This window comes from Homo sapiens, chromosome 5, assembly GCF_000001405.40.
Source record: "Homo sapiens chromosome 5, GRCh38.p14 Primary Assembly".
In the NCBI taxonomy this organism is placed as follows: Eukaryota; Metazoa; Chordata; class Mammalia; order Primates; family Hominidae; genus Homo; species Homo sapiens.
In genome coordinates, this window is record NC_000005.10 from 108,804,654 (window position 1) to 108,828,445 (window position 23,792).

General features: G+C 37.4%; 1 protein-coding gene across 22 annotated transcripts in view; it reads left to right on the top strand.

Moving 5' to 3' along the window:
* The window catches only part of FER (FER tyrosine kinase), a 448,945-nt gene that overhangs the window by 56,757 nt on the left and 368,396 nt on the right, over nucleotides 1-23,792 (top strand). Inside the window, exon 2 of one of the 22 annotated variants that reach the window (XM_017009233.3) lies at nucleotides 15,697-15,871. The exons of the other annotated variants lie outside the window; for them this stretch is intronic. The gene's annotated coding sequence lies outside the window, so the exon portion shown is untranslated. The remainder of the gene's footprint in view (nucleotides 1-15,696; nucleotides 15,872-23,792) is intronic. 22 annotated transcript variants of the gene reach the window in all.

Below are 23,792 nucleotides of genomic sequence, written 5' to 3' on the forward strand. Positions count from 1 at the left end.
TGATCCAACCTTGCATCACAGGAATGAAGCCTATTGGATCATGATGAATTAATTTTTTGATGTGTTGCTTGATTCAGTTTGCTATTAATAGTATTTCATTGAGGATTTTTGTGTTTATGTTCATCATGGATATTGACCTGCAGTTTTCTGCTTTTGTTGTGTCTTTGCCAAGTTTTGGTATCAGTGTGATGCTGGCTTTTTAGAATGAATTAGGTAGAATTCCCTCCTACTTGATTTTTTGGAATAGTTTCTGTAGAATTGGTACTACCTCTTTGTACATCTAGTAGAATTTGGCTGTGAATCCATTTAGTCTGCTTTTTTTTTTTAATTGGATAGGTTTTTTATTACTGATTCAATTTGGAGCTGGATATTGGTCTTTTCAGGGTTTCAGTTTCTTCCTTGATATGGTTCGGCTGTGTCCCCACCCAAATCTCATCTTGAATTGTAACTCCCACAATTCCCACATGTTGTGGGAGGTGACTGAATTATGGGAGTGGGTCTTTCCTGGGCTGTTCTCGTGATAGTGAATGAGTCTCATGAGATCCGATGGTTTTAAAAATGGGAACTTTCCTGCACAAGCTCTCTTTTGCCTGCCGTCATCCACATAAGACGTGATTTGCTCCTCCTTGCCTTCCACCATGTTTGTGAGGCCTCCCCAGCCATGTGGAACTGTAAGTTCAGTTAAATCTCTTTCTTTTGTAAATTGGCCAGTCTCAGGTATCAGCAGCATGAAAACAGATTAATACAGTAAATTGGTACCAGTAGAGTGGGGCGTTGCTAAAAAGCTACCTGAAAATGTGGTAATGACTTTGGAACTGGGTAACAGGCAGAGGTTGGAACAGTTTGGAAGGTTCAGAAGAAGACAGGAAAATGTGGGAAAGTTTGGAACTTCCTAGAGACTTGTTGAATGGCTTTGACAGAAATACTGTTAGTGATATGAACGAAAAGGTCCAGGCTGAGGTAGTCTCAGATAGAGATGAGGAACTTGTTGTGAACCGGAGCACAGGTGACTCTTGTTTTGTTGCAGCAAAGAGACTGGTGGAATTTTGCCCCTGCCCTAGAGATTTATCGAAATTTGAACTTGAGAGAGATGATTTAGGGTATGTGCCAGAAGAAATTTCTAAGCAGCAAAGCACTCAAGAGGTGACTTGGGTGCTGTTAAAGGCATTCAGTTTCATAAAGGAAGCAGAGCATAAAAGTTTGGAAAATTTGCAGCCTGAAAATGTGATAGAAAAGAAAATCCCATTTTCTGAGAGAAATTCAAGAAATTTGCATAAGTAACAAGGAATTGAATGTTAATCACCAAGACAATGGCAAAAATGTCTCCAGGGCATGTCAGAGGTCTTCATGACAGCCCCTCCATCATAGGCCTGGAGGCCTAGGAGGAAAACATGGTATTGTGGGCCAAGCCCAGGGTCCCTGTGTTACGTGCAGTCTAAGGACTTGGTGCCCTGCATCCTAGCCGCTCCAGCCGTGACTAAAAGGGGCCAAGGTATAGCTTGGGCCATGGCTTCAGAGGGTGCAAGCTCCAAGCCTTGGCAGCTTCCACGTGGTGTTGAGCCTGCCAGTGCACAGAAGTCAAGGATTGAGGTTTGGGAACCTCCTCCTAGATTTCTGAGGATGTGTGGAAATGCCTGGATGTCCCAGCAGAAGTTTGCCACAGGGGTGGGGCTCTCCTGGAGAACCTCTGCTAGGGCAATGTGGAAGGGAAATGTGGGGTTGGAGCCCCCACACAGAGTCCCTACTGGGGCACCACCTAGTGGAGCTGTGAGAAGAGGGCTACCGTCCTCCAGACCCCAGAATGGTAGCTATACCGACAGCCTGCACTGTGTGCCTGGAAAAGCTGCAGACACTCACCAACAGTCTGTGAAAGCAGCTGGAAGGGAGGCTGTACCCTGCAAAGCCACAGGGGCAGAGCTGCCCAAGACTATGGGAACCCGCCTCTTGCATCTGCGTGACCTGGATGCAAGACATGGAGTCAAAGGAGATCATTTTGGAGCTTTGAGATTTGACTGCCCCACTGGATTTCAGACTTGCATGGGGTCTGTAGTCCCTTTGTTTTGGCCAGCGTCTCCCTTTTGGAATGGCTGTATTTACCTAATACCTGTACTCCCATTGTATCTAGGAAGTAACTAAGTTGCTTTTGATTTTACAAGTTCATAGGCGGAAGGGACTTGCCTTGTCTCAGATGAGACATTGGATTGTGGACTTTTGAGTTAATGCTGAAATAAGACTTTGGGGGACTGTTGGGAAGGCGTGATTGGTTTTGAAATGTGAGGACATGAGATTTGGGAGGGGTCCAGGGTGGAATGATATGGTTTAGCTGTGTCCCACCCAAAATCTCATATTGAATTTTAACTCCCACAATTCCCATGTGTTGTGGGAGGAACCCCGTGGGAGGTGACTGAATTATGGAGGCAGATCTTTCCTGTGCTGTTCTCATGTTAGTGAATGAGTCTCATGAGATCTGATGGCTTTAAAAACGGGAATTTTCCTGCACTAGCTCTCTTTTTGCTTGCCGCCATCCATGTAAGATGTGATTTGCTTCTCCTTGCCCTCCACTATGTTTGTGAGGCCTCCCCAGCCACGTGGAACTGTAAGTCCAGTTAAACCTCTGTCTTTTGTAAATTGCCCTGTCTCAGGTATGTCTTTATCAGCAGTGTGAAAACAGACTAATATATTCCTGATTCAATCTTGAGAAGTTGCGTGTTTCCAGGAATTTGTCCATTCCTGTAGATTTTCTAGTTTGTTTGCATAGAGGTATTCGTAATAGTCTCTGAGGATCTTTTGTTTTTCTGTGGATCAGTTTTGATGTCACCTTTGTGATTTCTTATTGTGCTTATTTTCATTTTCCGTCTTTTTCTTTGTTGGTCTAGCTAGTGGTCTATCAACCTTGTTTATCCTTTCAAAGATCAAAGTTTTTGTTTTGTTGTTTATTTGTATGGATGATTGGATATCAATTTCATTCAGTTTTTCTTTGGTTTTGGTTACTTCTTTTCTTTTGCTATCTTTAGGGTTAGTTCTTGTTTTTCTTGATCTTCTAGGTATAGTATTAGATCCTGAATTCGAGATCTTTCTACCTTTTTGAGGTGGTGTTTAGTGCTATATACTTTTCTCTGAACACTGCTCTTGTTGCGTCCCAGAGATTCTGGTATGCTGTTTCTCTATTTTCATTTATTTCAGATAATGTTTTGATTTCTGCCTTAATTTCATTGTTTACCCACAAGTCATTCTGGAGCAAGTTGTTTAATTTCATGTAATTGTGTAGTTTTGAGATATCTTCTTGGTGTTGACTTCTGCTTTTATTTCACTGTGGCCCAAGAGTGTTGTTGGTATGATTTAGTTTTTTTTTTTTTTAATTTACTGGGACTTGTTTTATGGCCAAGCATGTGGTTGATGTTAGATTATGTTCCATGTCAGATGAGAGTAATGTGTATTCTGTGTATGATACATGGAATATTTCCTAGATTTCTATTAGATCCAGTTGGTCAAGTGTTGAATTTCAGGTCAGAATTTCTTTCTTAGTTTTCTGTCTCAGTGATCTGTCTGATGCTATCAGTGGGGTGTTGTGTGGCTGTCTGTGTCTTTTTGTAGGTCTAGATGTATTTTTTTTGTGAATCTAGGTGCTTCAATGTTGGGTGCATATATTAAATATAAGTTAAGTCTTCTTGTTGAATTAAATTCTTTATCATTAGTATCATTATTACTTCTTGTCCATTTTTTTTTGTTGGTCCAACATTTGTTTTATCTGATATAAGAATAGCTTCACTATTCTTTTTTGTTTTCTGTTTGTGTGATCTTTCTCTAACCCTTTACTCTGTGCCTGTGGGTGTCAACATGTAAGAATGGGTTTCTTGAAGACAGCAGATGGTTGGGTTTGTTTTTTTAATCCAACTTGCAACTCTGTGCCTTTTAAGTGGAGTAGTTAGACAGTTTACATTCAATATTAATATTAATATTAATATGTAAGATTTTGATCCTATTGTGAAGTCATTAGATGATTACTTTGTAGTTTGTATTGTGTGGTTCCTTTATAGGGCCTGTGTGCATGTTTTTGTGGTAGCAGGTATTTTCGTTGTTGTTGTTTCCTTGTTTAGAACTCCCTTAAGGATCTCTTGTGAGGCGACCTGGTATAGAATTCTGTTAGCACTTGCTTGTCCGGAAAATGTTTTATTCCTCCTTCACTTACGATGCTTAGTTTGGTGAGATGTGAAATTCTTGATTGGAATTTCTTTTCTTAAAGATGGCTGAAAGTACACCCCTAATCTTCCCTGGCTTAGAAGATTTCTGCTGAGAAGTCCACTGTTGGCCTGACAGATTTCCCTTTGCACATGTGATCTGACCTTTTTCTCAGCTGCCTTTAAGATTTTTTTCTTTAGTTTTGATCTTGGACAGTCTTGTGACAATATGTCTTGTTGCTGTTCACTTTGTATAGCATCTCACAGGTGTTACCTGGATTTTTTTGTATGTGGATATCTACCTCTCCAGTAAGATTAGGGAAACTTTTTTTGTATTATTCCTTCAAATATGTTTTCCAGGTTGTTTACTTTTTCTCCTTCTTTCTCAGGAATGACGTAACTTGTAGGTTTCGTTGCTTTACCTAATCCCGTATTTCTCAGAGAGTTTGTTTATTTTAAAAAATTCTTTTTTATTTACTTTTGTCTGACTGCGTTAGTTCTGAAGACATGTATTTAGGCTCTGAAGTTTCCTCTGAAGCTTTCAGTTGTCTTTTGAAACTCCTTAAGTGAGTTTTTCAACTCCATAAGCTCTGACTGATTTCTCTTTAAGATGCTGATGTATTCCTTCATTGCCTGGATTGCTTTTGAAGTTTCTTTGTATTGAATTTCATCCTTGTCTTGGATCTTGTTAATCATTCTTGTAATACATGCTTTTCCATACTTTGAATTTTTTGTTTTGTTTTGTTTTTTAGACAGGTTCTTGCTCTGTTGCCCAGGCTGGTGTGCAGTGGCATGATCACAGCTCTCTTCAGCCTTGATCTTCTGGGCTTAAGTAATCCTCCTATCTTAGCCTCCTGAGTAGCTGGGACTACAAGTGTGGACCACCATGCCTGGCTAATTTTTGTATATTTTGTAGAGATGGGATATTACCATATTGCCCAGGCTGTTCTCAAACTTCTGGGCTCAAGTGATCCTCCTGCCTTGGCATCCCAAAATGCTATGATTGCAGATGTGAGCCACCATGCCAAGCCTGTGCTTTAAATTCTTTATCTGTCATTTCTGAGTTTCCAGTTTGGTTACAGACCATTGCTGGAGAGCTGGTATGATCCTTTGGTGATGTCACTACATTCACATTTTTCATAGTGCCAGAATTCTTGTGCTGGTTCCTTCTCATCTAGAGGTGCTGGCACTTCTAATTTTTGTAATTATTTTTGTGCAGGTAGGAATTTTTCTTTTTTCTTTCTTTTCTTGTGATATTATTGTTATTTTTTAATTTCTCTTTTCCTTTCCCCTCCTTCCTAGGTAGTATGTCTATAGAGAATGTTCAGTAATGTCTTTTTGGCTCTGCCGTATGGACTTCCGTTGGCAGGTTTTATACTGGGCTTTTGTATTGGGCTTTCTTTATATATAAGCCAGTACATAGCGCTTATAGGTAAGACGTGGCTGTGGCTAACACAGCTGGGTGTGTATACTTGATCCTCGCTTACTGAGAGAAGCTCTCTGTTGCCTCAGGCAATTGATTGATCCGTGTAGTGCACAGTGGTCTGATTTCCCTGCTCACCTCTCCAGGCTGGGGAGCAACATGTGTGGGGCCGGACTGGGCAGGCCTGCCTACCTGTCGCCCAGTGGCAGGCAGAAGCACCAGCACTGAGGGAGAATCCAATGGGTGTCCACCAAGTGCTCAGAGGTGTGCCTAGGAAACCTCCTCAGCCCCAAGTTCTTTGCCCGGGGAGGGAGAGTTGGCCAAACTCCTAATCCAGGAGAGTGGGTACTCCAGATGCCTAGACATGGAGAGTACTGCAGCACCACAGTCTCTGCACAGGAATGGTGGGGCAGGTCAGGTTGCTGATTCAGAAGAGTAGGTGCTCCCAGTGGAGATCTGCTTTGGTGTTGAGCAGAGAGGGCCCAGCTGCAATACGGTGTCTTCATAGGAAGGGTTGGATACTTAGTCTGCTGACCTAGGTGAGCAGGTGTTTCAGCTGTCTGGAGATCTGCCTGGGGGTGAGGAAGAGAAGGCCCTCCTTTACCTGTATCTTTGCACAGAAAGGGTAGGGTGGCTCATGCTTCCAGTCCGGGCATGCAGGTTCTTTGAATGCCTGGAGACCTGCCCTGGTGAGGAGCAGAGAGGGCCCTATTGCCCCATGATCTATGCACAGGAAGGGTGGGTGTGTCAGCCTGCTTCTCCAGGTGAGCAAGTGCTCCAAGTACCTGGAGATCTGCCTGGCCGTGGAATGGAGAGGGCCCTTCTGCCCCACAATCTATGTCCAGGAAGGGTAGGGCATCCCAGGCTGCTGAACCAGGCAAGTGGGTGCTCTGAATGCCTGGAGATCTGCCTAGGTGTGAAGTGGAGAGGGCCTCCCTGCACCAAGATCTGTGAATGGGAAGGGTGGGGCAGGTCATGCTGCTGATCCAAGTGAGTGGATGCTCCAGATGCCTAGAGATCTGCCTGGGTATGGAGTGGAGTGGGCCCCAAAATACCATGTTATATTACTTAATTTTCAAATGTATATATATTTTGCCATGGATCTCTTCGTTACTGATTTTAAATTTAATTTCATTGTTTTTCAAGAATCTATTTTGTATCAGTTGAATGTTTAAAAATTCATGAATACTTGTTTCATGGCCCAGAAAATAGTTTGTCTTGGTAAATATTGCATGTGCAGTTGCTAAGAAGTATGTATTCTGCTGTTGTTGGTTAGAGTGTTCTATAGATGACAGTAAAGTGAAGATGGTTGATAGTGGTGTTTAAGTCTTCTATTTCTGTATTAGGGTTTTCCAGAGAAACAGAACCAATAGGAGATATATATATATGATTTATCATGGAAGTCTAAAAGACACACGATATGCTGTCTGCAAGCTGGAGAACTAGGAAAGACAGTGCTGTAATTCAGTCTGAGTCTAAAGGCCCGAGAACCAGAGGTACCTCCTGTGTAAATCCCAGAGTAAGAAGGCCCAAAAACCTAGAGTTCTGATGCTCGAGGGCAGGAGGAGATGAATATCTGTTCTAGAAGAGAGAGAGTGAATTTGCCCTTCCTCCTCCTTTTTGTTCCATTAGGCTGTCAATAGATTCGATAATGCTTGTCATCGAATCTTCTGGTGGATCTTCTTTACTCAGTTGTCTCATTCAAATGCTAATCTCTTCTGGAAACACCCTCAAAGACACACAGAGATGGGTTTCACCAGCTATCTGCAGTTCCTTTGAGTCAGTCAAGTTGACACATAAAATTAAACATCACAGTTTCTTTACTCATGTTTGTCTACCTGTCCCATCAGTTGAGAGAGGGATGCTGAAATCTCCCACTATAACTGTGAACTTGCCTGTTTCTCTTTGGCATTTATTAGTCCATTTTTCTTATATTTCAATTCCCTATTATTAGATGCATAAATGTTTAGAAATGTTATATCTTCTTGACAAATAAATTAACTTGTTTATTGGGTGGGAAATGTTTAGGATTTTTATTTTCTCCTCATTAATTAGGCCCTTTATCACTGAGAAATTAACTTAACTCTGGTAACATTCTTTGTTGTGAAATGTAAGCTGTCTGATATTAATATAACCACGCTGGGTTTCATTTGGCTAATGTTAGCGTGGTATGTCGTTTTTCATCATATATTTGGTATATTTGAAGTGGGTTTTTGTAAGTAACATATAGTTGAGTCTTGCTTGGTTTCCTAATATGACAATCTCTGCTATTTAGTTTGTGTGTTTAGACTATTTCATTTAGTGTGATTATTGATATGATTAGGTTTAAATTTATCATCTTACCATTTGTTTTCTCCTTATCCTGTCTGCTCTTTTTATGTTCTTATATTCCTTTCTCCTGTTTCTTTTGGATTGAGCATTTTTAAAATGTGACTATTTTTATCTCCTTTATTGAATTATTGCCTATAAATGTTTATTGTGTTATTTTAATGGTTGCATTAAGGTCTATAGTATACATCTATAACTTACTATAAGTCTGTATTTCAGTGATATGTAGAACCTCATCTATAATAATATTCTTGCAAGAGTATACTTCAGTTTCTCCCACCTGTTCTTTGTGTTATTATTGTTACAGCTTTTAATTATATGTGAGTTATAAATCCACAATACATTATTATTTTTGCTGATTATCTTTTGAATAATTTAAATAATAAGTACATAATTCTTTATATTTGCTCATTGAGTTACAGTGTATGGTAGTCTTCTTTATGTAGATTCAGGTTTCTAGCTTGTATCATTTTCTTTCTGTTTGAAGAACTTCCTTTCACATTTCTTATAGTGCAAGTCTATTGAAAAAAATTTTTTTTTAGGTTTGAAAGCGTAAAAATATCTTTATGGTGTCCTTTGTTTTTGAAAACAATTTTTACATGTATAAGATTCCTGTTTGGCAATTTCTTTACATATTTTAAAGATGTTGCTGTATTATCATCTTACTTGTGTTGTTTCTCATGAAAAATTTGTGCCTAATGTTTTTTTCCTCTGGCTGCACTTAAGGTTTTCCCTTTGTTACTGATGTTAAGCAATTCATTATGTGCCTTTATGTAGTTTTCTCTGCATTTTTTGTGCTAGGGTCTTGTTGACCTTTTTAAACCCATGGGCTACTACAGTTTTCATCAACTTTGGAAAGTTTTCAGGCATTATTTTAAATAATTGTTTTTTAGTTCTCCCTCTTCCTTTTATCTTCTTTCAGGACCCTGATTACGTATGGATTTGGCTGTTTAAAGTTGTCTTACAGTTTACTATGCTGTATTTTTCTTTCTTCTCTGTGTTTCATTGTGGTTAGTTTTTATTGTTGTCTTCTACTTCACTAATCTTACTTTTATTCAATGTCTAATCTGTTGTTAATTTTATCCACTGTATTTTTCAGCTCAGATATTTTTACTTCCAACTTCCTTTCGTAACCCTATTAATGAGGTTAACTTTAATTCTTTCCCTGATCACTTATTTCCAGCAGTGTCTCTTCTTCCCTCACTCCTCCTTTTCTGGCAACAATACTTCCTTTCTTGCCAATATTTAAATTTAAATTATGCCTGTGTACCATTCCTTCGTCTTCTTGTACCTGCCAAAACTCAACTTTTCCTTTTGCTCCACACCCATACTTTAGGGTGGAACAAATGGAGAGAATAAACAGAAATCAAGTAGTTGGGCCATTTCCATGTTAAAAATGAACAAGTCGTAAATATCTCTAGTAGATTTGAATTCCTTTTATATCTTGTATCTTTTGACTTAATATATTTATTCTTTCCTCTAGTTTTGTGAATATATGGAATATAGTCCTTTTTTGGCAATTACTTTTTCATTCTGATCCAGAATTCAATACACAGTCACTTATTTCATTTATTTAATAGTTGTTGTATCTCTTCTGTGACTTTTTATCTAGAATACGAACATGAGAAATCACATGAACCTGTGATTTGGTAATTTTTCATTTTTTAATTTATTTTACAGGAAAGGGGTCCCAGTTCAGACCCCAAGGGAGGGTTATTGGATCTCGCGCAAGAAATAATTCAGAACAGGTCCACAGTGCAAAGCAAAAGCAGGTTTATTAAGAAAGTAAAGTGGTGAAAGTACAGCTACTCCATACACAGGGGAGGGCGTTCCTGAAAGTAAGAGGAGAAATGTGTCCACCCTAGGTACAATACGTGTTTGTATACAGGATAAAAAAAGATCATTGGGAGATGTGCTCTGTTACAAGGGTTTGTGATAAAGGATTACTTTTCTTAATTACTATATTTTGCAAGAATTGATGTTATTATCTTTAAAGCAAAATTAGGAATGCTTCTGTTCTCAAGATATCATCGGGGTATTAGGACACTCCTAAGTCTGGATCTGTTTAGTAAACATTATCAATCTGTTCCCTTAACCATAAACATCTAGAGGCTAGCAATACCTAACTTTCTGGGCATGCAGCTCAGCAAGTCGCAGCCTCATTTTTCCTAGCCCTCACTCAAGATGGAATCACTCTAGTTCGAATGCCTCTGTTATTTATAGTTATTTTGAAGTGTGTACATTCTGTCTTTAATCCTGAGGGCATGTTTCTTGTGTGGTTTTCTTTTCTTTTTTTGTTCGTTTGTATTCCTATTGGAGGAAATAGTAGGAGATGGAGACCTAGGTAGCTATCTTTTTCCCCCAACTACCTGGTTTCTATTTTTTCTTCATTCTCTGAGCACTTGTTTACTTTTTGGCATAAGAAGATATTCCAATCTCATCTTGAATGTTGCTTTCTACATTCCTGGAATAAACCCTTTTCCCTAGGAGTCCTGGTTTCTTTTAGTGGGGAAAATATCTGAACATTCAACCAATTTACTATATATGGAATTTTAGGTTTCACAGTATTTGCAATTACAAATAATGCTGCAATGGATAACTTTGAATAGGTGTATTTTTGTAACATGGGTGTCTTCACGCTGAATTTTTGGAAATGAGATTTCCAGGCCAAAATGTAAATGTACCTGTTATATTATATATTTTTGTTATATATTGCCAATATAAATATAAATTTATATTTCTAGAAATTTCCTCTGTGGATCTTGTATCATTTTGCATATCCAGCAGAAACATAGGAGGATGTCAGCTTCTACTTAATCTGGGTAACAGAGTTTGTTCTCAGACTTTTGTATTTTTATTATTCTGATAGGTAAGAAATGATATCTAGGGTGCTTTTATATTTCTCTAAAAAGAGTTAAATTAAACATCTTTCATATGTTTAACAGCTATTGTATTGTTAGGACCTGTTTTCTGTGCTGAAGATGAATTTTACTTTGCTTCTTCTTCTTTATGTAAAATTATATCTGTCTGCATACAGTCAACTTCTGAAATAGTACAGTGATAAATACTATCTTCAAATGATGCAAGGTACTTAAAAGGAAGTATTGCCTTACCTTTTAAACATGAAGTGAATTGAAATATTGGTGATGTTACATATACCACATAGGAATAAAAAGTAATGAAAAATGCTTTTTGATGAATCAGTCTGATTATTTAGTAGTCACATAATACATATATAATGTAACTTGAGCCTGTACAACTAGGGTTTCAACTATATATATTTTTAAAGCAGTAATTTTTAAGCCTGGCTATAGAGCCACTTCTGCTATACCACCGGATTTGAAAACATTGAAATCTTGGTTGAAATCATTTCAACATTTAAAAACTTGGTTAATGAGAGGATCACCTGAGGCCACAAATTGAAGACGAGTCTGGGTAACATAGCAAGACCCTGTCTTAACTAAGTAACTAACTAACTACACCACCGCCCCCCCAAACACACACACACCACACATATATACACACATGCTTTAATCTATCAAAAAAAAAACCATGAGTTTGTTCCCACACAATTGACATATTAGGAACGATTTGAGCTTAACGTTAATTTTGCATTTGTTTATGTCTGAAACCTGAAGAAGCACTAGGTGAATGCAGAAAACTATAACTAGCTTAACCATGCTGCGTAGGAATACATAGTAGACACACACTTCAGTCCTTTACTGGCTACCTTCATTTACCTTTTTGTTGTGAGCCACACTCATCCACATGTGGCATTTCAACTTTCTGTCAAATTTTGAATAACTCTCCCCTTTACAGAATTCGCAAGTTGCAACCTTTCTGAAGTCGACTTTGACAAGCAAGCTTCAGGTCTTTTCAAAATGAAGTGCCATGTTAATATAGTAGTCATGTGCTTCTTAACGTTTAATATGTGTAAAACTATGCAAAGTTTTTTCTGTTAGGTTTCTGTTTTTAAAAAAATGTGTCCCTGATTAGTTTCTTGAGTATTATGCCTTTAACCCCATTTGTCCATAAGCCCTGTGGTTTTTATTCTGTAATTTTTGTACAATCTCATGGTTATTAGGCACAAAAATATTTTGTTACAGTAGAGCTTATACATTAGAATTAGTTGTGGAGCTTTAAAGTACTGATGTATAGACCCCATCCAAAGCCTGTTAAATAAGAATCTATGGCCTTAGAGCCAATAATTGGTATTTTTAAAAAGTTTGCAGTTGTTTGACTGGGCATGGTGGCTCATGCCTGTAATCCAGCACTCTGGGAGGCTGAGGTGGGCAGATCACTTGAGCGCAGGAGTTCAAGATCAGCCTGGGCAACGTGGCAAAATCCCATCTCTACCAAAAATAAAAGAAAATTAGCTGAGCATGGTGGCCTGGTCCTGTAGTCCCAGCTACTTGGGAAGCTGAGGTGGGAGGATCACTTTAGCCCAGGAGGCAGAGGTTGCAGTTAGCAGAGATCATGCCACTGCACTCCATCCTGGGCAACAGAGCAAGACACTGTCTCAAAAAAAAAAAAAAAAAAAAAAAAAAAAAAAAAAGCTTGCAGTTGCTTCTTATTGCAGCCAGAGTTGTGAACCACTAGTCCAGGGAAACCGTGAAGCTTTGAAGAAAATGAAGAGAGGCTCTTATGAATGGGAAGTATCTAAAATTTCCTTTGAACTTGCGATTGAATCTTTGAAAACTTCAGCTTTAGGGGAATTTAAGGAGTTGTCTTCTGGATTTCTATATTCCATAAAGACACAGAGACTCCAAAAACATTCTTCTTATGTAATGGGCAAACTCACAATAAAAACTGTTGTTTCACAGAACCATTTATTTTGAGTTATTGTGTAGTGCACAGACTATGCATTCTTCATGGAATTTTTATGTTGTATTTAAAAAAATTCAAGCAAAAAGAAAGCAAACAAGTAGTTGGAGGTGTAGTCTGCAGTGAAAAGCTATTTATAACAACTATTATTTAGGTATTTTTCAAGCTTGAGTCATCTTCGTGATTTATTTTCAATGTTTTAGTATAATTATAGCTCCAGTAGTAGTTTGTTCTTTAATCCAGTGTTGTAGAATAAATACTTTTGGTATAATAAACTCAGAGCACTTAAATTAATACCTGTTTATGGAATACTGATTTACCTCACTACACAGCTGTTAGTTCAAATTTAGAGGGCAAGAAAGGACTAATATGCATTTCTAAAAGTTATGTATTTTCCCCTTATGTGTAGTTTTCTCTTTTTCAAAAGTTGCATGCAGAGTTTACTTTCTTTATATCATGTATTAATCTTAGTATAACTGGTACTATTTACCTCTATAGTCTTCCTAAGCATAAAATAGGCATTGTAGGGTTTATGTTAATTATTTTAGAAGCCTGAGATGCTATTTAATGTATGCAATGATCTCGTTTTTGGGGTAGATGAGAATAAAATTTCTGTAAATTGAATTATTATTCCTCCTTTTTATTATGAAATAGGTGATGTGTTTATTTCTAGGAACCATTTTATTTTTGGTCACAAAACAACACTGCCAAAGAATCGCATTTAAGAATTTAGAAAATTGGCCATATGCGGTAGCTGACGCCTGTAATATTAGCACTTTGGGAGGCCAAGGAGGGTGGATTGCTTGAGCTCAGGAGTTCTAGACCAGCCTGGACATCATGGTGAAATCCCATCTCTACAAAAAATACAAAAAGAAAATTAGTTGGGCATGGTGGTGTGCGGTGTATTCCTGTGGTCCCAGCTGCTCAGGATGCTGAGGTGGGAGAATCACCTAAGCCCGGGAAGTCAAGGCTTCTGTGAGCCGTGATTGTGCCACTGCACTCTAACCTGGGTGACAGAGCAAGACTTTCTCCAAAAAAAAGATAAAAAGAATAAATCTTTTGAAATCACATTTTACATTTCAGGTAAAAGCAATATTTTTAATAATATTAATATTAATATACAACTCAGAATTCTGAAAAATGTTCTAAAATTTTAAAATCTCAAATTAGTAATTTGTTTTCCTGGGGCATTGGGAAATGTGTGCTGTCTTTTTCACTGTGTTAAAGTAGTCCTATTTCTAATTATCCAGTGAGATATTGGGGCGGTTAGATAAGATGATAATTTTATTTAATTGTTCTGTTCAGGGAGATTTGAGAGATGGGTCATTACTTTAGTTAGAAAGGCAGTTACAGTGAGAGGCCTCTTTCATTTTCATATCCATAGCTTCTCACAGAGCATGTCATATCAAGAGTGACTCACCAATCTTGCCCTACAAGGACTTCTTTTTAGATGTGCTCATACTACAAAGTAGGTAGCCTAAAGGAGTAGATAGCTTTTCCTATGGCTCTTCACTTCTAATTTAATGATTAAGTACTAAATAGAAATTAAAGATTACTATGTAATTTGTAACCAGTTTAATAATATTCTCCTTAGTTTAACCTAGATAGTTATTCTTTTTTATTTTTAGAAACAGGGTCTAGCTCTGTCGCTTAGGCTGGAGTGCAGTGGTGTGCTCATAGCTCACTGTAGCCTTTAACTCCTGGGCTTAAGTGATCCTCTCACCTCAGCCTCCCGAGTAGCAGGGACTGCAGGTGTGCACCACCATGCTCAGCTTTTTTTTTTTTTTTTTTTAATTTTTAGAGCTGGGATCTGACTCTTTTGCCCACGCTCGTCTTGAACTTTTGGGCTCAAGTGATCCTCCTGCCTCAGCCTGTAATTCCAAAGTGCTGGGATTATAGGCATGTCCCACTGCACCTGGCTAGGTAGTTATTCTTAAAGTAGTTTGTAGATATTAAGACCTTTAGGTTCCCACACTGCTCCCTCCAAGCATCAGGTTATGTCAGGTGTAACACATTAAGAATTAGTTTTGTATTTGAATGTGAGCTCTTCCATTATTTAGGTGTGTGACTTTAGGCAGATTAATTTATCTGACATTCAAACTCCACATTTATAAGATGAAGGTATTTTCTTCATAGTGTTGATAAAAGGAGTAAATAAGAGAAGGCCTGCTGCGAGTGTGCAAGAGGTTGGTAATATTAATAAGTGAAGCCCCAGTATGTAAAAGAGGCAGAGAGCGTCTCTCTCATTTAGATAAGCAAAGTTAGCTTTAATAGGAGTCAGGTTGGAAAGAACTAATGGAGACCATCAATTCCACCTGTTCATTCTATGTGAGAGAGAAAAAAAGCATTTTTTTAAAATAGAGATTCAGAAGAAGGAAGTGTCTTGAGTATATAGATTAGTTTATACCTTCTGGGAGTAAGAACTGAGTTTTAATTTTTTTCCCCCAGAAGTCTATTTGAGGAGTTTGAAAAAAGATAGATAAGGCAGTAGATGAAAAGGTTGATTGGGTTGGAGGAGGAAAGAGAGGACTTTGTTTTTTAAAAAAATATTGAGCTGATGGGGCCAATGAAGGATAATCTGGAACTACAGGAAATAGAAAATAACAGAACGGCTTGTCTAGGACATGGAAAGGGAATGGGAAAGAGTGGAGAGCAGGAATATAAAAAAAAGAAGCTAAAGAAGAGATAAAAATCTCCCAGAATCCTAACTATAGTTCATTCTTCTCTTTAAAATTTCCAAATAGGCCATTATTGTTTTAACAGTCCTCTACTAGAGCTGGATCAACAAAGGAATCTTCTCTGGACGTGAGCTATAAAAGTCAAGGAGTTTGTGAGGATGGCACTAAATAAGGAAGTAGCTATTAATAAATAGGAAAAGATCACAGGATGCTGGAACTGAAAGGGACTGTGAAGGTATTTTATTCAATGCTTAATTTTTGGTAGGAGAAAACTGCTGAGGTTAGGCGATTTACTTCTGAAGAATAAAGGTGACTATGGCTGGTTATTTTTCTGGTTACTGTTCTTCAAAAGAAGAACAAGAAAGGTGGCCCTTAAGTCCAAGAGGAATAAAAGCAATTGAGGAGCACCAAGAAGCTGGAAAAGTATTGGGAAAGAAAAGGTAATATAATTTCTTAATTTCTTTTCTGGCCTGTTCTGTGTTTAGATACTTAGATTTACCTTTTTAATACCAGTAGTAATATCCCGGTAGTCATGTGGTTCTCTAACTTTTGAGACTGGACCGTAACTGAGCTAATGCAGCTCAGCATCTTTGGTACCAGTCATTAGAAACCAATTATTTAATTTGATTATATTGGTTTTATTTAAAAAATTTAGTCTTTGTCCACATATTATTTTTGCTTTCATTTGGATTCATTTTGGTTATTATATTAGTGTTTGATGATCTGAGAATCTGAAATACTTGAAATAACAGAGTCTTAGGCCAGGTGCAGTGGCTCACGCCTGTAATCCCAGCACTTTGGGAGGCCAAGGTGGGCGAATCACTTGGGACCAGCCTGGCCAACATGGTGAAACCCTGTCTTTACTAAAAATACAAAAATTAGCCGAGCATGGTGGCACATGCCTGTAATCCCAGCTACTCGGGAGGTTGAGGCAAGAGAATCACTTGAACCCAGGAGGTGGAAAGTATAGTGAGCCAGGATTGCTCCACTGTACTCCAGCCTGGGTGATAGAGTGAGACTACGTCTCAAAAAAAATAACATGGTCTTAAAAGTTTCAACCTTTCTATTGTTAGAAAGGCTTTAACCAAGAGAAAGTGAAATTCTGCTGACATTGAAGGTCATACTTAACTCAGATGATTCACCTTCCTCTGATTTATCAAGTAACCTTAGTCCTTTGGTTCTTTAAAAACCTTCACCAGATAGGAACATGCTTATAAATCTGGACACCAAGACATAAATGATCCGGGGAAAGAGACTAGTCAATTCCTGCTGTATTTATAGGGGAAAATTTTTAAATGTTATAAGAAAAATGAAGATATCCAAGAACTCATTACAATGAGTTATACCGTTGAAGGAGTTTCATATATGTAAACAGTTTTTGAAAATTATTATATTATCACTATGAAAATTTTAATATCCCAAGGCTGACACAAATATGGTAGTGGTAGTCTTGCCTTTTTCATGCTTCTTGTGCTTGGGTTCATTGAGCTTCTTTGATCTGTATTTATTTTTCATCCAATTTTGAAAAATTTTAGCCATTATTCTTTGAATACTTTCCTTGTCTCTCCCTCTGTCTCCTTAGAGGTTTCCAAGTACACACATATTATTTTTGTTATTAAATTCTATAATATAATTATTTTATTTTTTAAGAAAAATTATATGTATTTATGGTATACCTTGTAATATTTTGATATATGTTGTATAATGATTACCACAATCAAGTTAATTAACTTATCTGTCACCTCACATAGTTATTATTTCTTTTCATGAGGAGAACACTTAAGATACGTACTCTCTTAGCAAATTCAAAGTGTATAATAAATTATTATTAACTCTAGTTATCATGGTGTACATTAGATCTTCAGGACTTTTTAATCCTGCATAACTGAAACTTTGTTCCCTTTGACCAAAATGTCCCCATTTTCTTCACCCCTATCCCCTGGCAATCATCATTCTATTCTCTTTTTCTGAATTTGACTTTTTAAAATTCCACATATGGGTGAGATCATGCAATATTTGTCTTTTTATGCCTGGCTTTTTCACTTAGCATAATGCCCTCTAGATTAATCCCTGTTCTCAAAAATGGCAGGATTTCCTTCTTTTTTATGATTGAATAATATTCCATTATATATGTGTATACACACACACACACATTTTATTTACTATAATTTCTTTATCTATTCATTTGTTGAGGGTTGTTCCTATATCTTGCCTATTATGAATAATGCCTGTCCTAGTCCAAGTTCTGTTGGTATAATAGAATTCCTGATATTGGGCATTTTATAAAGAAAGAGGTTTATTTAGCTTATAGTTCTGTAGGCTGGGAAGTTCAAGGTCATCACCCTGGCTTCCGGTGAGAACTATTGTGCTGTGTCATAACACAGGGAGAAAAATAAAGGGAAGTGGACATATGCAAAGAGAGAAAATCCAGGGACTTTATAGCAATCCACTTTTGTGGGAACTAATCCATTGCTACAAGAGCTAATCTAGTCTTGCCAGAGTGAGAACTCACTATTCTGAGAATGGCACCAAGCCACCCACATAGTAGCAGCCCTCATGACCCAAACACCTTCCATTAGGCCCTACCTACCAATACCACCACATTGGGGATCAAATTTTATTTTATTTATTTTATTTTATTTTATTTTATTTTATTTTATTTTATTTTATTTTATTTTATTTATTTTATTTTATGTTATTTTATGTTATTTTATGTTATTTTTGAGACAGAGTCTCGTTCTGTCGCCTAGGCTGGAATACAGTGGCGCCATCTCGGCTCACTGCAGCCTCTGCCTCTTGGGTTCAAGTGATTCTCCTGCCTCAGCCTCCTGGCTGGAATGCAGTGGCGCCATCTCGGCTCACTGCAGCCTCTGCCTCTTGGGTTCAAGTGATTCTCCTGCCTCAGCCTCCTGAGTAGCTGGGATCACAGGTGGCCTGCCACCATGGCCAGCTAATTTTTGTATTTTTAGTAGAGACAGGATTTCACTATGTTGGCCAGGCTTGGACTTCTGACCTTAAGTGATCTGCCCCCCTTGGCCTCCCAAAGTCCTGGGATTACAGGCATGAACCACTGTGCCTGGCCTGGGGATCAAACTTTAACGTGAGTTTTGGTGGGGACAAACAAATAATATGCAAGCTGTAGCAATATGACAATGAACATGAGATTACAGGTATCTTTTTGTTGTATTGATTTTGTTTTCTTTGGCTATGTAACCAGAAGAGGGCTTGTTAGATCATATAACAGTTCTATTTTTAATTTTTTGAGGAACCTCGATATGTTTTACATAATGGGTGTCCTAATTTACATTTCCATCAACAGTGTATAGTGCTCCTTTTCTTCACATCTTTGTCAACACTTATCTTTTGTCTTTTTTATAATAGCCATCTTAATAGGTGTGAGGTGATAGGTCATTGTGGTTTTGATTTGTAGTTACCTGATGATTAGTGATACTGAGCACCTTTTCATATATCCTTTGGTCATTTGTGTATCTTCTTTGGAAGAATATCTGCTCAGGTCCTTTGCAGATTTTGAAAACTGAGCTATTTTTTTCTGTGTGCTGTTGAGTTGTGTTAGTTCCTTACATATTTATATCAGTTCCCTTATTAGATATATAATTTGCAAATATTTTTTCCCATTCTTTAGATTGCCTTTTTATTTGGTTATTTCCTTTGCTGTGTAGAAGCTTTTTAGTTTGGTGCAGTCTCACTTGTTTAATTTTGCTTTTGTTGTCTGTGCTTTTGGTGTCATCTTCAAAAAATCATTGCCAACAGCAGTGTCAGGGAACTTTTCCTTTATTTTTTCTTCTAGGAGTTTTATGGATTCAGGTCTTATATTTAAGTCTTTAGTTCTTTTTGAGTTGATTTTTGTGTATGGTCTAAGATAGGGATCCAGTTTCATTCTCTTACATGTGGATATCCAGTTTTCCCAACACTGTTTATTGAAGAGACTATCTTTTCCCTATTGTGTATTCTTGGTGCCCTTGTCAAAGATGAGTTGATTGTATATGTGTGGGTTTATTTTTCTGTGCTCCCTCTATTCTTCCATTGGCCCATGTATCTGTTTTTATGCTAGTATTATATTATTTTGATTAATATACCTTTGGAAATATAGTTTGGAAAAAGGAAGTATGATGCCTCCAGCTTTATTCTTTGTAAAGATTGTTTTAGCATTCAGGGTATTTTATGGCTCCATAAGAAGTTTAGGATTTTTTTTTTCTATTTCAAAATTCTAATGTCGTTTTTTATCATTGAAATTTTAATTAGGAATTCTGATAGAATTGCTTTCAATCTGTAGATTGTTTTGGGTGGTATGGATATTTTAATGATCATTCTTTCAATTCATGAACGTAAACATATTTTCCATTTATCTGTGCCTTCTTCAACTTCTTTCATCAATATCTTATAGTTTTCAGTGCAAAGACCTTTCACTTCCTTGGTTAAATTTATTCCTATGTATCGTATTATTTTTGATGCTAATTTGGGAGTGTTTTCCTAATTTCTTTTTTGGATAGTTTGTTGTTACTGTATAGAAATGTTACTGATTGTTTTTATACTCCTGGCAGGAAAAGAAATAAATTTTAAAAAAGAAAAAAGAAAAACAAATGTTATTGATCTTTATATGTTGATTTTTTAATCCTACAATTTTACAGAATTCACTTATTAATTCAGTTTTTTAAAATTGGAGAGTCACAGGTTTCTACATACGAGATTATCGGGGGACCTGCCCCGATAATCACGTAGGTTCTTTTCTATTTTCCTAAGCGTCGGCTGGCTTGAGAAATAAAAGGACAGAGTACAAAAGAGATAAATTTTAAAGTTGGGCATCCGGGGGAGACATCACACATTGGTAGGATCTGTGATGCCCACAAGCCACAAAAACCAGCAAGTTTTTATTAGGGAGTTTCAAAAGGGGAGGGAGTGTGCGAATAGGTGTGGGTGACAGACAAAAAGTACTTAACAGGGTAATAGAATATCACAAGGCAAGTGGAGGCAGGGCGAGATCACAGGACCACAGGACGGAGGCGAAATTAAAATTGCTAATGAAGTTTTGGGCACCACCGTCATTGATAACATCTTATCAGGAGACAGAGTTTTGAGATCAACCGGTCTGACCAAAATTTATTAGGTGGGAATTTCCTCTTCCTAATAAGCCTGGGAGCGCTATGGGAGACTGGAGTTTATTTCACCCCTGCAGTCTCAACCATAAGAGACAGGTACGCCCCGGGGGGCCCAGTTCAGAGACGTACCCCTAGGTGCGCATTCTCTTTCTGGGGGACGTTCCATGCTGAAAGAAAGAATTCAGCAATATTTCTCCCATTTGGGCTTTTGAAAGAAGAGAAATATGGCTCTGTTCTGCCCAGCTCACCGGCGGTCAGAGTTTAAGGTTATCTCTCTTATTCCCTGAACAATTGCTGTTATCCTGTTCTTTTTTCAGGGTGCCCACATTTCATATTGCTCAAACACACATGCTGTGCAATTTGTGTAGTTAACGCAATTATTACAGGGTCCTGGAAGGATATACATCCTCCTCAGCTGACAGGATTAAGAGATTAAAGTAAAGACAGGCATAGGAAATCACAAGGGTATTGATTGGGGAAGTGATAAGTGTCCATGAAATCTTTACAATTTATGCTTAGAGATTACAGTAAAGACAGGCATAAGAAATTACCAAAGTATTAATTTGGGGGAACCAATAAATGTCCATAAAATCTTCATAATCCACGTTCTTCTGTCATGGCTTCAGCCGGTTCCTCCATTTGGGGTCCCTGACTTCCCGCAACACAAGATCCTGTCTATTGTAGACAGTCATACTTTTCTTTCTGATTTGGATTTTTAAAATTTCTTTTTATTGCCTAATTGCTCTGGCTAGGACTTTTAGTATGCCATTAAATGGAAGTGAGAGTGAGCATCCTTTTCTTTTTTCCGATTTTAGAGGAAAAGCTATCAGTTTTTTACCATTGACTATGTTAGCTGTGAGCTTGCCATATCTAGCCTTTATTATGTTGAGATACATTGATTCTATACTTGATTCCTTGAGAATTTTTATCATGAAAGGATGTTGAATTTTGCCCAATACTCTTTGTGCATATATTGACACGATCACATGAAGTTATTCATTATTCTGTTAATATAATGTGTCAAATACAAAATTATTGATTCGTGTATGTTGAACCATGCTTGCATCCCAGGGATAAATCCCACTTGCCCACTTGGTCATGGTATATGATCCTTTTAATATGTATACAATTTTGTTCTCTAGAATTATATTGAGGATTTTTACATCTGTGTTCATTAGGGATATTGGCTTGTAATTTTTCTTTCCTTTTTTTCCAATTTATTTTTATTTTTTGTAGACATGGTGCCTTCCTGTGTTACCCAGGCTGATCTTGAACTCCTGGGCTGAAACGGTCCTCTCGCCTCAACCTCCCAAAGTGCTGGGATTACAGGCATGGGCCTCTGCACCTGGACAGTTCTTGTTTCTTATAGTGTCTTTGTCTGGCTTTGCTGTCAGGGTAATACTGGCTTCATAGAATGAATTTGGAAGTGTTCCCTCCTTTTCAGTTTTCTAGAGTAGTTTGAAAAGGACTGATGTCAATTCTTCTATAAATGTTTTGTAGAATTCACTAATGAATCAAACAAAGGTCTGGGCTTTTTGATGGGAAGTGCTTGATTACTGATTCAGTCTCCCTACCTGTTTTAGTCTAGTCAGAATTTCTGTTTCTTCATGATTCAGTCTTGGTAGGTTGTATTTGTTTTTATTCCATAGCACCTTGTTCTTTGCAGACTCCCAGCTCTGTCTCCTCAATTCAGGGATTCCACAGGGTTCTGCCTCAGTTTCTCAATGTTATGGTGGTTTTAGAAACTTTTTTTTTATTCTCAATTCTTAGAGACAATTTAAGTAGCACCAAAGTTTACTGATTCAAACAATTTAGATATTATTCAATAGCAAAACATTTGAGCTTTGCACTTTATTAGAGGTATGTTATTCATAATTGGTTTATGACAACCATGGACTCCATGGTTATTGGTCTCTTTGAATTTCGTACTTGTAAAAGTTGGGATTCCAACAGGAAAGTGGAACTTACATGATGTAGTTCAATAGACAGGTTTTAATTTTGGGAAAATCTTCAACACTTTTGGAAAAGCTAAAAGGAAACAGGAGAGGGAGAGAGAGTGCAAGAGTGAGAGCCTGCCAGCCTTCCTCCTATTCCTCAACCCTATCAGAAGGTAATTAGCAAGGGACAGCACAGATAAAGGGCTGGGTTTCTAACTGTGAGCAATCAAATGATCCGTACCCTATATCTTGAAGTGTCAGTCTTGGCACTTTATGTTTCTCTTCAAAAGAAGAAAAAAATAGTACCCATTTCTTCCATTCTTTAGTATTTTCCTGTCAAAGTTCTCATAAGTTATTATTAATCTATGGTTATTTCTCTTTTCTTAGACTTAATTTTAGCGACTTTATTTCCTTTTTTCTGTAATTAAGTAAGCTCTTCTTTGTTTTATATTTTGTCCTAGAATTTGACTTTATATTATTTGAATATAGTGACTACAGGGTCTTGTTGTTCATATTTTTCTGGGGTGTTTTCACTTGTCTTTTTGTTGTTGTGCTGTATTTTATTTCTGTTTCATACGTATTGCATATAGTGAAGTTTTGTCCCCTCTCTGATTTGATAATGTTTTCCTTTTTATAAGTGTTTATCCCATTTTCGTATAATATTTAACAGATGGAGTTAGTATCTTTTTTTTTTTTTTTTTTTCCCCCAAGACAGGCTCTTGCTCTGTCACCCAGGCTGGAGTGTAGTGGCAAAGTCATAGCTCACTGTAACCTCAAACTCCTGGGCTTAAGGGAATCTTCCAACCTCAGCCTCCTGAGTAGCTAGGACTATAGAAACAAGCCACCATATCCAGCTAATGTTTAAATTTAAAAACAAAGCTTTTCAAATTTTTGATTAAAAATTTTTTTTTTGTAGAGACACTGTCTTGCTACATTGCCCAGGCTACTCTCGAGCTCCTGGCCTCAAATAATCCTCCCACCTTGGCCTCCCCAAACACTGGGATTACAGATATGAGCCACTGCTCCTGGCCTCATTTGTATTTTGTACTTATTTTCAATTATTATTTACTTTTTGTACTTTGTTAAAATGGATAGTGTTAACTTTCCTTAAAAAGCACTTTTGATAATTCAGGAGGTATAAATAGGCTGCTTATTTAAAAACCTTCACTTGGTTAACTTTAGAAACTCAAGAATTATAAACTCAAATTTATACTTCTTGATACACAAACTTAAGAACTAAAGCTATCTTCTGACTCTTCTATTTGAAAAGGTACTAACACTTCTTTCCGTCAGTCTCTCATTCTTCA